The 13,962-nt window shown below is 42.6% G+C and overlaps 1 protein-coding gene across 40 annotated transcripts in view, besides 4 other annotated features; it reads right to left on the bottom strand.

Moving 5' to 3' along the window:
• TANC1 (tetratricopeptide repeat, ankyrin repeat and coiled-coil containing 1) overlaps nt 1-13,962 on the bottom strand; it is a 264,020-nt gene that overhangs the window by 83,585 nt on the left and 166,473 nt on the right. For 31 of the 40 annotated variants that reach the window (NM_001350065.2, XM_047446107.1, XM_047446108.1 and 28 more), the window contains one exon: nt 12,777-12,881. The exons of 7 other annotated variants lie outside the window; for them this stretch is intronic. In NM_001350065.2, coding sequence (NP_001336994.1) covers nt 12,777-12,881 — 105 coding nt within the window. Of the gene's footprint in view, nt 1-10,827; nt 10,951-12,776; nt 12,882-13,962 lie in introns of those variants that run through there. 2 more of the 40 variants (XM_011512059.3, XM_047446135.1) reach the window with 1 other exon arrangement.
• Nucleotides 1,623-1,917: a silencer, noted in NCBI's record as "tiled region #14614; HepG2 Repressive non-DNase unmatched - State 10:DNaseD". NCBI's record gives its function as "represses a minimal TATA promoter and a strong SV40 promoter by Sharpr-MPRA in HepG2 cells {active_cell/tissue: HepG2}" and the evidence as "EXISTENCE:reporter gene assay evidence [ECO:0000049][PMID:27701403]".
• Nucleotides 1,623-2,304: a biological region, named in NCBI's record as "Sharpr-MPRA regulatory region 14614".
• Nucleotides 1,704-2,304: an enhancer, noted in NCBI's record as "H3K4me1 hESC enhancer chr2:160003282-160003882 (GRCh37/hg19 assembly coordinates)". NCBI's record gives its function as "activates a minimal SCP1, AML or CMV promoter by ChIP-STARR-seq in naive H9 embryonic stem cells {active_cell/tissue: H9 hESC(naive)}" and the evidence as "EXISTENCE:reporter gene assay evidence [ECO:0000049][PMID:30033119]".
• Nucleotides 9,201-9,370: an enhancer, noted in NCBI's record as "experimental_53540 CRE fragment used in MPRA reporter constructs". NCBI's record gives its function as "activates a minimal promoter by MPRAs in K562 erythroleukemia cells, with activity observed for both the introgressed and non-introgressed 2:159996301 variant alleles {active_cell/tissue: K562}" and the evidence as "EXISTENCE:reporter gene assay evidence [ECO:0000049][PMID:34662402]".

Raw genomic sequence — 13,962 nt, 5'->3', positions numbered from 1 at the left:
TCACACTACAGCTGCTTTGTCTGGTGATTTTGTGTGTTTCTATAAAATGCGCACAAAGTTGGACAACGCACCCTGTCCTCTAGCAATACATTCTAATTAAGGGACTGTGACAGGTTAAGGAAACAGTAAAACAAAAACTCCAAGTGCAAAGGGTGAGTGAGAAGAGCCCAGTGTTATCTGACGGCAATTCCTAATTCCGAGTCATGTGAAAACGGGTACTTCAGACATCAGCTTGGGTAAGAAAAGGGCCTATCTTTCATGTTACCCTCACAGAGTGCCGGGTGTCCAATGCCCACAGGAGGCTGAAATGAAGTAAAACCCTAGTGGCATGCTGGTAGAGACCCAGGCTATTTAGGTGTTGGAGTAAAACTGAAATCCAAGCTCTCATTAAACAAGCCAGGGGAACGACGTGGAAAATTTGGTGGAAAACTTCCTGTGCACATCCCACAGTAGTGAAAGTCAAAACCAGGATTTCAACTTGACGGTCAATCGTGAAGAATCCAAGTTGAAACAAAAATTTAAAATCACAGTGAAACTTGTCCCAAGAGACAGGACCCAGTACCACTGTTGCCCATGCAAAGATGTAGAAAAATCAAGCTGTATTCTCAGAATGCTGCACAGCAATGCTGGGAAAGCCCACCTTTTCTTGGGTTCTCCCTGAGGTTGGTCATCTGGTTTTTTTGTACTTAAGAGAATTTTATGGTTGGATTTGATTTAAATGTTGAGCTGTAGTTTAACCCTGTACCCAAAAAGCCCAAAGGCACTTAATTATGGCCAATAAATAAAACGATATTCACATCCTTCTAACACGTCTCTCACCTTCTAAAATCAGCATCCATCAGGGGATGAAAAATTTACAAAGCAAGCTGCTTACAAAGCTGTAACTTAACAATAAGTAACCTATGACATAGTCACTCAACATTTTGCTCTTTTTTATTAATTGTCTAGGTAACTGGACTCATATGAACCTATTTTGCTTAGATGTGAAAATCTGCAGATAATGGGTAAAGGTTTTAGGAAAAATAAAATGAGGAAACAACACAGTGATGTTGCCGTTGAGCTACAACAGCACCAACAAAGATCAATGCTCACTTCGCCTTTTGTAAGGAACCACAAAAATCAAAATAAGCAGAGCTTTTGCAAAGGCCATCTGGCTTATTGTCACTCACATATCAGTTTTGCAAGTCATGCACCCAGGATGGCAGCTACAAGGGAAACTACGCTGGCAGCATCTTCAAGAAAGGAAAAGCTTCCCACCCCTTGCTTACTGGTAAAAGCTCCTAATGTTTGGAGTAGGAAGAATGGTTTGCCAGCTTGGATGTTTTTTAGCTGCTCTGGAAAACTGCAGGGGTAAGGAAACCAAGGCTTGACTATTCTGGGTTAAAAGAGCCCTGATGCTTCTGGACCATGTGAGCCAAACATGAAGGGGCAGTGGCCCCAAGCCAACACAGGGAAAAGGAGCCACCCCAGGGCGGGTCGACCTCATGCCAAAGCCGCTCTACAGGAGGTCCCTTCCTACCTCAAAGCACATTTTGATTCTCAAGGTAGCTGGGCGTTTGGGAAAGGAGGGCGGGAACCAAACCAGATCAGCAGACAGAGGCACACCCAAGGGGTGAGGCCCTCAGAACAGGATGGCACCGCCCTCCCTCCGCCTCTGCCCCGGGCCCAGGCAGGGCAGCTACTTTATCTCAGGTGGCAGCTGGGCTGGAGGGAGGGAACAGGACGCAGATGGAAAGGGAAGAAGTGGGTGAGGGGGCAGATCTCCGCAGTTTCTCCACTCCACACCCCCCTTCCCTTTCGAAACAATCTCCACACTGCTCCCGATTGTGATTATGCCCCAGAATGTCTAGCTTCTGGTTCAACCTGAAACACTCTGTGTAGAGAGCCAGAAATGACTCCCATTTGGCAGCTGCCGTGGAGGCAGAGAGAGCAGCTGCAGGAGCTTGGCTCCACAGAATTCACCTCCACAACAAACAGGGCCATGCCTGTGGCTCACTTGGGACTGGCAGGAGGACCCTGATCCTATGTAGGTCCTATGTGCAGCAGGGGGACCGCAACACCCCAGCACAGTGGCTGCTGCCTCCACACTGTGTCTGCAAACAGATACTCCAGGATCTCAAGTGTTTCATTTTTTTTTTTTAATCCAAAAACAACTTACCATCCAACCCATTTCAGATAAGTTGGGGAGCAGTGGCGATTCCAGCTTTAATGGTTGAGTTGAAAAGGGACACCTAAGCCGGGTGCGGTGGCTCACGCCTGTAATCCCAGCACTTTGGGAGGCCGAGGCGGGTGGATCATCTGAGGTCAGAAGTTTGAGAGCAGCCTGGCCAACATGGTGAAACCCCATCTCTATTAAAAATACAAAAATTAGCTGGGCGTAGTGGCAGATGCCTGTAATCCCAGCTACTCGGGAGGCTGAGGCAGGGGAATCACTTGAATCCGGGAGGCAGAGGTTGCAGTGAGCCGAGATTGTGCCACTGCACTCCAGCCTTGGCAACAGAGCAACATTCTGTCTCCAAAAAAAAAAAAAAAAAAAAAGGAAAAGGGACACCCAAATTCATGATCAACTGTTCTCTTAACTGCACAACCTGGACTTTGCTGCTACCCAAGTTCTAAACCCTTACCCGGGGTTGGGATGAATGGACAGACGTTATTTTATTTACTTCATGTTTATATCCATTAAGGCACTGCAACTGTATTCTTCCAAAGGCTTCCCACCTGTCTTTTCATATTATTCTGTCTTCTAAAATGTCATCCCAGTGATCATCCCCTTAAAAGGTCCCCTTCAGTCTGAATTCCTTAATCCAATGAAGCTGTCTGAATCTCTCCCTTCCCTAATGCACAGAGCCCTCTCTCACTGAACTTCTCACTCTGGCAGAAGGACCGCCTGGGAGAAGTGTCACTGAGCCATCTTGGGAGTGATGAGTTGCTTAGGAACTCACATGGACACGCTGTGAAATGGAAATACATGTCTACTTGCATAGCTGTTCACTAAATACTGAGATCTGAACAGCCAGATGGTTTTAGGCTAGTTACTACAAAAGCACCTCCAAGTCAAATTCAAACAGACCACTCTAAATAGCAAGTCTATTTTCATTCATGTAGTTAATATTAAATCGCTGATCAATAATGGGTGTACATTACCCAATACCAGTGGGATGAGGGCTGGAGAGAAGACTTCACTTTTCATTTCACAGATTTAAATATCTGACGGCTGTATGATGGCTTTATTTGGAGATGAGAGAATGCCCTGGGAATCCATTAGGCAAGTGGAGAACAATACTCCCCCCAGCAGCACATTCATGGAACCCTCAGTATTACATAGCGTGAAAGGCTGACTGCATGGAGAAAGGTAAAGGGAAGTTCTTGAATCACTTCTGACTGCCTCTATTCAGCTTCTCACCCCCTTGTGGACCACATATGGGGGCACAAATGCTAAGGAGCAGTCCACAAACTGACCAGCTCCCGACTGCCATCATAACTTTAAACCATCAGTGCCCTCTACAACCATCTTCTCATCTTCCGCCACTGTCTGGGAATCCAGGGTGTTCTCAGTGCTAACCACCATCCAGATCCTTTTGGGTACTGAACCTCTCTCAACTGCACTTTCTTAGTGAGGGAAGTGGCCATACCCACCTCCTACAGGTTGTGAGGCTCAAAACCAATGTGTGTGAGAAACAGCTTATAAACCACAAGATGCTATAGAATTGGTCATTCTCTCTACCAACTTTAACACCAAGAGCCCGCACTTCCTTGCGATTATTTTCTGGTTTCACAAGTTCATATCTATTTTCAAGTGTGCTTGTATGTCTTACATAACTTTCTGTTCATAATTTTTCTGCCTCAAATAGGTTTTTGTAAACTCACTATTCCATGACAACAAACCCCCTTCCTTTTTCTGCTTACCAAACCATCCCAATTTGGCCTGCACCTTACTGCTTTCATTTTCCATTCCAATCATTCTCTCTTGTTTAAAGCCAGGGGAGGAGCGCAGGTCCCTAGTGATCACCAAGTATTATCACTCCATAGAGAAGTCTTTCCTCCATTCTCGTCCTCCTCAGACTCTAAAGAACACTGAGTATTGCTGACGACATTCGTCAGTTCACTATCATGTGACCTATCACCATGTGACCTCGAAGTTGACTTAATACCAAGTGTCCAAGATAGCACTTGTGAATCTAGTCTGCTAAATGAGACAGGCCCTTGGTTTGACATTAATCCTCTGCCTCTATCTATCCATGACCTGCTTCTCACTTATCCTCTTGCCTTCCATGACTCCTACTTACAAGTATTTTCCCTGTTTCTGTCTGCTCCTTCTCAGCCATTACCATTCCCTCCCTCCTTAGAGTTCCAAAAACAGTATTTAAAAAGGAACATTGGCCGGATGCGGTGGCTTACACCTGTAATCCCAGCACTTTCGGAGGCCGAGGCAGATGGATCACCTGAGTGATCAGATGTTCGAGTGGATCAGGAGTTCGAGAGCAGCCTGGCCAACATGGTGAAACCCTGTCTCTACTAAAAATACAAAAAAACTAACTGGGCATGGTAGCACGTGCCTGTAATCCCAGCTACTCCAGAGGTTGAGGCAGGAGAATCACCTGAACCCAGGAGGCGGAGGTCACAGTGAGCCAAGATTGTGCCACTGTACTCCAGCCTGAGAGACAGAGCGAGACTCCGTCTCAGAAAAATAAAAATAAAAAGGAACATCCATCCATGGACCTGCTCTGTTTCTGTCAATAATTTGTTGTTTCTGGTCTGCAATACCAAAACATAGTTATCATGCAGGTTACCTTCAAAATTTTCATGTCATCCACCCCATATTGAAATTATCACCAAACTTACTATTTCTCCATTCAAAATGCCTCCTGAATTAGCCTTTTCTTCTTCAGTCATCCATCACTCAACTTAAAGTCTTCATCCTCTTAAGTCTAGAGGACTATCAGAGTTTGGATCAATTTTCTCATCTCTATTTTTATTTTCTCCCTCTTTTCCTTCCTCTAGAGCCAGTAGGTTCTTAAGCTTTTTGGTCTCAGAATTCACTCTTAAAAACTGAGGACTGCAGGCTTAGGAGGGTTATGTCTATTGACATTTATCATACTAGATATTAAAACTAAGAATTTTTAAACTGTATGTTAGTTCATTTTAATGTTATAAAACTTCATGTTAACAATTAATATTTTAATTAAAAAACTAAATTTTAACTTATGGGTACATAGGTAAAAAGCTGTACTTTTGATTTTAAAGATTAGTTAAGAAGAATGGCATTGTTTTTACAATTTTACAAACTTTAATGTGCAATTAAATAGAGGACAGCTGGATTTGTATAACTTCTTCTGCATTCAATCTGTGGGGATCAGTTCTTTTGGTTGAAGCATGTGAAGAACTGCAGCCTCAGACAGATACATAATTGGGAAAGACAGGAGTCTTTTTAGTTAATTATAGAAATTCTTCTCTGATACCCAGCCAAAACTTGACAATCAGCAATTTCCATTTTTTTTTTTTTTTTTTTTTTTTTTTTTTTTTGAGATGGGGTCTTGCTATGTTACTCAGGCTGGTTATGAACTCCTGGGGCTCAAGCAGTCCTCCTGCCTCAGCCTCCCCAAGTGCTGGAAACAGCAATTTCTTAAAGGTAAGTTCCACTGTTGACTCAATCTGCATCGATGAATTTTTTGTACTGTTACAGTAAGATCCAATGGTCTGTTTTATACTGTAAATGGATCTTTTACCCATGCAAGACTGTGTAACATTATGCATTGGGTCATTTGGAAAATAATGGTTTTACAGATTTTGCAAATGTTGACAAATGTTATCACATAATATCAAAACATCACATTACGAGAGATCTCAATTGAAAAGTCTTGGGAAACCATCAAGCTCAATGTGACAGGTGTAAAATTTCCCAAAAAACCTAATTTTCATTTGAAATGTCAAGTTTTATTATGGGCAACTAATCCTGTCAGAGTTGGTTTTTTGTTTTTTTTTGTTTTGTTTTGTTGTTTTTTTTTTTTTTTTGAGACAGAGTCTCGCTCTGTGGCCCAGGCTGGAGTGCAGTGGTGCAATCTTGGCTCACAGCAACCACCAACTCCTGGGTTCAAGCAATTCTCCTGCCTCAGCCTCCCGAGTAGCTGGGATTACAGGTGCCCACCACCATGCCCAGTTAGTTTTGTATTTTTAGTAGAGACAAGGTTTCACCATGTTGGCCAGGCTGGTCTCAAACTCCTGACCTCAGGCAATCCGCCCGCCTTGGCCTCCCAAATTGCTAGGATTACAGGTGTCAGCCATCGTGCCTGGCCTTTTTTTTTTTTTCTATTGAAGTGCCAGGCTAATTTCATTCCTGTTGAAGAAAAAATGTGCCAAATACCTACTTCAGAATAACCATGGGTTGTCAGTCATTCTTTCAAATAAAAACAATATTCCATTTTAAAAGTAGCGAGTTCAGCTTGCAATTCAATCATACAAGTGCTCTGCCTCAAGAAAACCATCAGACTTCCGAGCATGCAGAAGGGCTTTACTCAGACTTCCCACTTCATCACACAGAATATTAAAAAGATGGGTCTCCAAGGGTCAAGATTTAATAACATTACTTTTAGTGCTTCATCAAGGACATTCTTCAGTGAATTATTTGTGAAGCCAGCACTTGGCAGTGAAGAACACCAGGACTACCAGTGTAGCCAGTGCCTTGACATATACTAAGGTATCAGAAGTTTTACCAACAATTGCTTTTGCAGCATCAGTGCAAATGTCAACAAAGGGAAATGTAAATACCTTCTCCGTATTATTACAAAAGGGTTTTGTACTATTATAAAGAGTTTTGACATCACAAACCCCTGAAAGTGTCTTGGGGACTAGAAGTCCACAGCCTACACTGTCAGAACCTCTGAATTAAGTCTACAACTGTGTTAAATAAAAACCACAGCTGCACACATCTCTCATCCTAGTAACTGATCTCCCATCTTTATCTGTTTAATTTGGGGGTAAAAGAGGGCTCTCTATTCTCACCAATTCCATTTCCTTATCACATACCTATAACTTCAAGTCACAGACCTTCACAAGTCTCCTGAAACAGCCCTGTTAAGCACATTAATTTTTCTTTTTCCTTTTTTGTAGTACACCTTCTCTTTTGATTTTCCTGTAGATCTACGGCCTTGCAAGCACTCTGTCCTGCAAGGTATAAAGTGGCAATTGTTGTAAGAGACACACAGAGGGAAAAATCCATGATTACCAGAATACTGTGGTCTTGTGTGGTCTTTTCCTGTCCCTCTTGCTGGTGCTCCTTGCACCTTAGTCCCAGCTCATAAATGAAATACCAGTTTCTCAGCCCTCTTTTGTCAACGACCTGTTTCCCTACTGTAACTTGCCTAGTCTCACAGCATTACTTCCAAGCAAATGGCTGACCAGTTTATATCCTGAGCTCTTTCTTGATACCCAGTTTGATTTTCCAACTGGTGGCTGGACACTTGCGAAGATGTTCCACCAGCACTTTGAAGTCTCCATGCCTGAAACTGAACTCAAACCAAAACACAGTCCCTGCTCCTCCAGTGTCCCTTAATGTGGTCTCAAAGGCGTGAAGTTGTTGTCTCTGTCTTTTTCAGTTCCCAGGTCCTTGCAATTCCTCAAGAATCTTCCATTCACCACCTCTTCTTCACTGAACCTGAACTAATTTGAGACTTTATCCTCTCACTTAATTACTAAAACAATTTTTTAATCATTCTTAACCGTAGTCTCTTTCCAGTCCCACTCCATCCTACTCTGTTGCCACGTACTATAGTCTGAATGTCTGTGTCTCAGAATGGGATTAGTGACCTTATAAATGAGGGAGCTTGTTTGTCCCTTCCACTACATGAGGTTACAGCAAAAAGATGGCTGTCTATGAACCAGCAAGTAGGCCTTTGCCAGACCCCAAATCTGCAGACTACCTTGATCTTGGACTTTCCATCCTGCACAAATCTAAGAAATAAATTACTGTTGTTTATCAACCACTCAGTTTATGGTATTTTTGTTATAGCAGCCTGAACTAAGACAACAGGTAAATCTTAAGGCATAGCTACAATTAAGTCTTTCCATGCTCAGAATCTCCATCTGCTGGCCAAGCATAGTGGTTCGCACTTGTAATCCTGGCACTTTGGGAGGCCAAGGCGGGTGGGTCACCTGAGGTCAGGAGTTTGAGACCAGCTTGGCTAACATGGCAAAACTCTGTCTCTACTAAAAATACAAAAATTAGCCGGGTGTGGCGGTGGGTGCCTGTAATCCCAGCTACTCGGGAGGCTGAGGCAAAAGAATCGCTTGAACCCAGGAGGCAGAGGTTGCAGTGAGCCGAGACTGTGCCACTGCACTCCAGTCTGGGCAACAAGAATGAAGCTCCATCTCAAAAAAAAAAAAAAAAAAAAATAGAGAATCTCCATCTGCTGAACTCCTAGTTCATCACACAGCTTGGATTAGTCATTACTTCCTCCTTTATTACAGTCACGCCATATACAGGTCTCTAATCCCCTGCCAGACTCTAAGGCTCCATAAAGACAGGACCCATGCTTGATAACCCATCTCAAATAGCATTTAGCATAGTGTTTTTTCACAGCATAGAAACTGAATACTTATTCAAGGAAATGCAGAATGAATGGATACTCTACTTCCAAGAGTCTCTCTTCTGTGCACACATACCAGGTATGCCCCTTTTCTATACTTCCATCAAATAAAACCTCATTCAACCATTGGTTGAATGTTGCACTGCCATTCTAAGAAGCTGAAAATTAAAGCAGGATCAAGGTTACCTCTTGGGAAAGAAAGGGTTTTAAGAAATAAAACATGACTATGCATTTTTTTCAATCATATTCTTTTTTTCACTTTTTTTTTTTTGAGACAGGGTCTCACTCTGTCTCCCAGGCTGCAGTGTAATGGTGTGATCATGGCTCACTGCAGCTTCCACCTCCCTGGCTAAAGAATCCTCCCACCTCAGCATCCTGAGTAGCTGGGACCAGAGAGGTGCACTGCTATATCTGGCTAATTTTTTGACTTTTTGTTGATATGAGGCCTTGCTACATTGTCCAGGCTGGTATCAAACTCCTAGGCTCAAGCAATTCTCCTGCCTTGGCCTCCCAAAGTGCTGGGATTATAAGGGCGAGCCACCACACCCAGCCCCTTTATGCTTTATACCTCTTTAATCCTCTATACCTGTCTGACCATCTAAAATGGTAATAAAAAACATAAGGTATCAAAATATTTACTTAAGCATATAACTAAAGACCCTCTCCTCCCAGAAGATAGTTTCACATTGAATTATTCTGCTCTTTCATATGTGTTAGCTTTATTTGCTTAGTCAGACTGCCAGGAAAAAAGTTTCGTCACTGACTGACATGAAGATATCATTTAAAAAAAGTTTCATCATATTTTGAGATTGATCTTCACAGAGCAATGACTTATGAGACTAAAAACTTTCTAGCCCCTCCTCAAAACTTGCCCTAGTAGCTAGAAATATATTAATGCAAACCTAAATAAATTATGGTTACCCCTAAATCAAAGAAATAAAGCGTGGATCCTGTTATAACAATCATCTCTAATTTATCTGAAGGTTTTTTTTCCCTTAACGCAGATATTGTTTGTGGGTAAATGAGCTTTCCCCTAAACGATATGTTGATTTAGCAATAGGAAGCTTACTCATTAAGAACTTATTCTACCTGACACACAGCTTATTAGGACCATTTGACATGAAAATGGGCTTTGTATTTTGTTTGATGATTTTATTAAGTCATCCGTTTTTCCTAGAGTAGAAAATGCTGTGTTTCAAATATATTTAAACATACTAAGATAGAATGTTTTTTCCTAAAGATGTTTCCAGGTGAGTGCAAACTCCTTCCTTTCCTTCCTTTCTTTTTTAAAGAGACAAGGTCTCACTATGCTGCTCAGGCTGTTCTCAAACTCCCAGTCTCAAGCAATCCTCCCACCTCGGCCCCCTGAATCACTGGAATTACAGGTGTGAGCTACAGTCCCCAGCTTGCAAGCTTTAAGAAACAAGTTATTTGCTTACAAAAAAAAATTCATCTTCTTACATCATCGAACCCACACTTCCCAGAAGGCTAAAACGTGCATCACACATAAATGCAATTACTTATAAATAAGCAAATTCAAAATGTTCTTTGGTTTGTTTTCCTTTGATTTAAAATCCAAACAGAGAGCTAAGAATCAAGAGTTGATGGAGCTACATGACCAAAGCAAAAGTGAGGCAGGAAAGTATTTCAAGCATTTAGGAATAACCTGCTATTTCACGAGTCCATGGGAAATTTCAAAAGCACTTCACAAAGAGCTGTTTTCAGTGGAGTCTGTTAGTCTGGTGAATACTGGCATGCTATTATTGACAGCACCCAGAAAAGCGTCTTAGAAACTTAAACAAGAATGTCCAAGGGAAATATAGATAACAGAAGACCACATTTTAAAGTAAAACTTAAGTGATGATGCTGATATTAAACCCTAAAAATGAGGGTTTGCCCATCATGTATCTGTACACACCTGGGTTAACACTCAAACTCAATTAGTTTTAGTCGGCTCTATCATTTCCTTTGGGTTCAGTGATCTGGATAAAATTTACACTTTGACATGGCAGACTTAATTAACCCCATTGAAATTTAAGGGACTCCATGGGGATTACAAAACATACCATTCTATACTAATTGTCCTGTTCGACTTTGTTAGGCAGCCACCTCTCCTCATCAACCAAGAGAAAGCTCACCCTGCTGCGGCATCCACCAACATCATGGCTATCTTCAGGCAAGACCATGCACCCACAGACGTGAACTACACCTGCTCCCGAGACACTTAACAAAAATGAAAACATACCCTGCTTCTTAATTTCAGGCGAAACCGAAATGTCTGGTCCTGTATTTGTAGCCCATAGATCTCATAACTTTGGTCCCCATGAAGACTAAAGATGCCGAATCAGAAAGCTCAGGTCTCAGGAGTGAGCACACATGCAAACTTCAGGCCACTCCAGCAAGACCAATTGCTGCATTTGAAATTTAGCTCAGCCCACAGCCAAGCATAAGAACACTTCCATTCGTCAAGAAAGGTGGCCAATTCTGCTTTGAGCAAGGGAGAAAAGTTAACAATAGGAACTATTTATAACCTTTTATTGCCTAATAAAAATCCAAATTTTCTACCCCCACTCCCACACCAGGAGGAGGAGGTCCCAATCCCTGTACAGAACCTTAACGATACTCCCAGCCAGGGAGGAAGAGGTTACATAATGGAGCCTAGGCCAGCCAAAATGCCAGGGGCATAATTGACCAGGGCTACAAAGGCTTTGGTGGGTGGGGAAGAAGGGAAGAGGTAGGTAGCAGGCTTAATCTGAGCCAGGCAGACAGCTTAGACATTTGATGACTGATATTCACTACAGAGAGAGAGATTTTACTTTCCTTTCAGGACACCGAGGAGAGAGAGAACAGACTGCCTGCCCACGTGAACGCACAATCAAGAGAGGCCTCATGTACCAGCAGTTGGCTATCCTAACCAGACACCACAGTGGAATCTCCACCTTCACCAGCAACATTCGGTGTGCACAAATCCTCAGCTCAAATCCTCTTCCCTCAACCACACAATGAGTGCCTGGACAGAAAGGAAAAGGGTGGCATTTCTCATGCCAAGACACCTGCAATAGCACCTCTTGCCTGCCCAGAGTGCCCAGTGCCTGGCCCCATCTTTTCCCCATGTCCCAAACTCCCCTTCCCTTCCCAGTTTTCAGCTTTTGCTGATCCTTCCTCACAGCTCATTTTTAGCTATATTTTTACCACCACTCCAGTATATTGTCTTCCCATGTCCTACTTATTACCCACTCCCTGCCATACAGCACCAGCAACACAAAAGGCACACACAGGTTAGGACATAAAGGGTCTGTATCTCCCACCACCCACAATTAGGCAGAGGAAGGTGCCAGATATGCCAAAGTAAAAATATGGTTGAGTTCTCTTTCAGCATTGCTACATAAACTTTTGTCCACACTGAGGATAAAGCAAGCCCCTTTACATACAGCAAGATTCCTAGTCCCATGTTTCTGCAGAAAAACAGGGTGGAAATTCAAAACACCCAAATTAAAGGCAAGAGAGATGTGAGTTGGGGACTCCCCAGAAAGGAACAAACAGGAAAATTCTTGAATTGATTTTTTAAAATAAACAACTATGAATATATCTGTTAAATGCTGCAAATTTGTAATGTCACACATATTTCCAGGTATAAAATACATATACATATAAAATGTCTTTAAAAATATTTCCATCAATTTGGTTTTTTTTTTTTTTTTTTTGCTCCTACTTCAACATCCCCTAAAGAAAAACTTCAGATGTTAAAAAAAGCAGCCTTCAAAAGACACCAAATGCTTTTTTTAAAGCTAGCAATTACATGCTTTGTCCAGTTAAGGTTTCAGCTTTTCAGCCAAAGCCTGTTGTTGAATTTTCTCAAGCAGTAGAATATTAAAAACAAAACAAAATCTTGGAAGCAATCTACTGGGTGACGCTTCCTATCCTCCAAGACCTGGTAGGTCAAAATTCAGAGGAAATAGGACTCAATCCTTAAATAATGCATATGTACCCACTTAACTATTTATACGCCAGGTATACAATTTCCAAGAATTTGCGTTAGCCAAACAGATCTCTGTAACTGCTGGAGGGGAAAATACCTCCCAAATACATTCTCAGCAAAGCAGTACTGCAAGGACACTCAAGTTTCATTCAGAAATGAAGTGTCATTGTATAAAATCTTTGGTAGAGGGGGAAGGAAATCACTGAAATTCTTACCATGCTCATCAGGCTCTGTTGGCTTGGCTACTTCTCTGAATGGCATTATAACTGCATCTCCAGGCACTCTGGGGCTTTCCACATACTTGGGCTTCCTGACGGGACCTGTAGTGGGAAAGATCTGAGTGTGGCTAATTTTTTCCAGATGCAAACAAAGCCTTGGAATGTACAGTGTGTGTCCTTACCAGGACCCAAATATGCCTAGAGGAAGAGCCAGTGCCTTCCCCTCCCTTAAACGCGCGCGCGCGCACACACACACACACACACACACACACACACACACACACACACACACAAAATTTCAGTACAGACGAGGGAACGTCCAGTCTGGCCTGCCAAAGAAGAAAAGAGTAAGCTCAGATTTGAGAATGTAAACCCTAACAAAAACAAAAGCTGCTCTCTTGCTGTGAAGTCGCTACAGCTGTCTTCACTGGTCAAGTGGGTGATTTTGACATGTTCAAACCTGGACTGCTTTGTGATGAAGGGTTTGATTTTCCTCTAACTAGGACAAGGATGGGACAAAGACAATTTGGTAGCTTGGTATCTCTAAAGTCAGGAGGCAAGGATTACAAACAGCCGGCCTGTAACAGCAACACAGTCTGCGCACCAGCCACAAGAACACAGGCATCTTATCTGGCTGGTGACGCACAGTAACTGTGCGGGGCACAGCAGCCAGCAAGCGGGTCAGACATAGGAGAGACCAACAGGCTTATCTCCTACCTCCTGTTCCCACAGCCCCTGCTTATTATCAGAAAATCCGGAATTCTTCGTAAGACTGGATGGAACCCTCACATACAATGATGCAGCCGTTTTGGAAAACAGTTTGGCAGTCGTTCAAAAGGTTAAGTGCAGAGTTACTACATGGCCCTGCAGTTCTACTCCTATGGGAATGTATGTTCACACAAAAACTTGTACACGAATGCTCACAGTAACGCCATTTGTACTAGCTAAAGGTACGTCAAATGACAACAACAAAATGTTCTTTGCCCACACAATGGATTATTGGGCAGTAGAAAGGAATGAAGTATCGATTCATGCTACAACATGGATGAAGCTTGAAAACATTCTGCTAAGTGAAAGAAGCCAGTCACAAAGGATCTACATGATTCCATTCATATGTCATGCCCAGAATAGCCAAATCTTTCAGAAAGTATAAATGGTTGCCAGGGGCTGGGGGTTATGCAGG

The sequence above is a fragment of the Homo sapiens genome, chromosome 2, assembly GCF_000001405.40.
Source record: "Homo sapiens chromosome 2, GRCh38.p14 Primary Assembly".
Classification (NCBI taxonomy): domain Eukaryota; kingdom Metazoa; phylum Chordata; class Mammalia; order Primates; family Hominidae; genus Homo; species Homo sapiens.
This window is presented reverse-complemented; position numbering and strand designations above follow the sequence as displayed.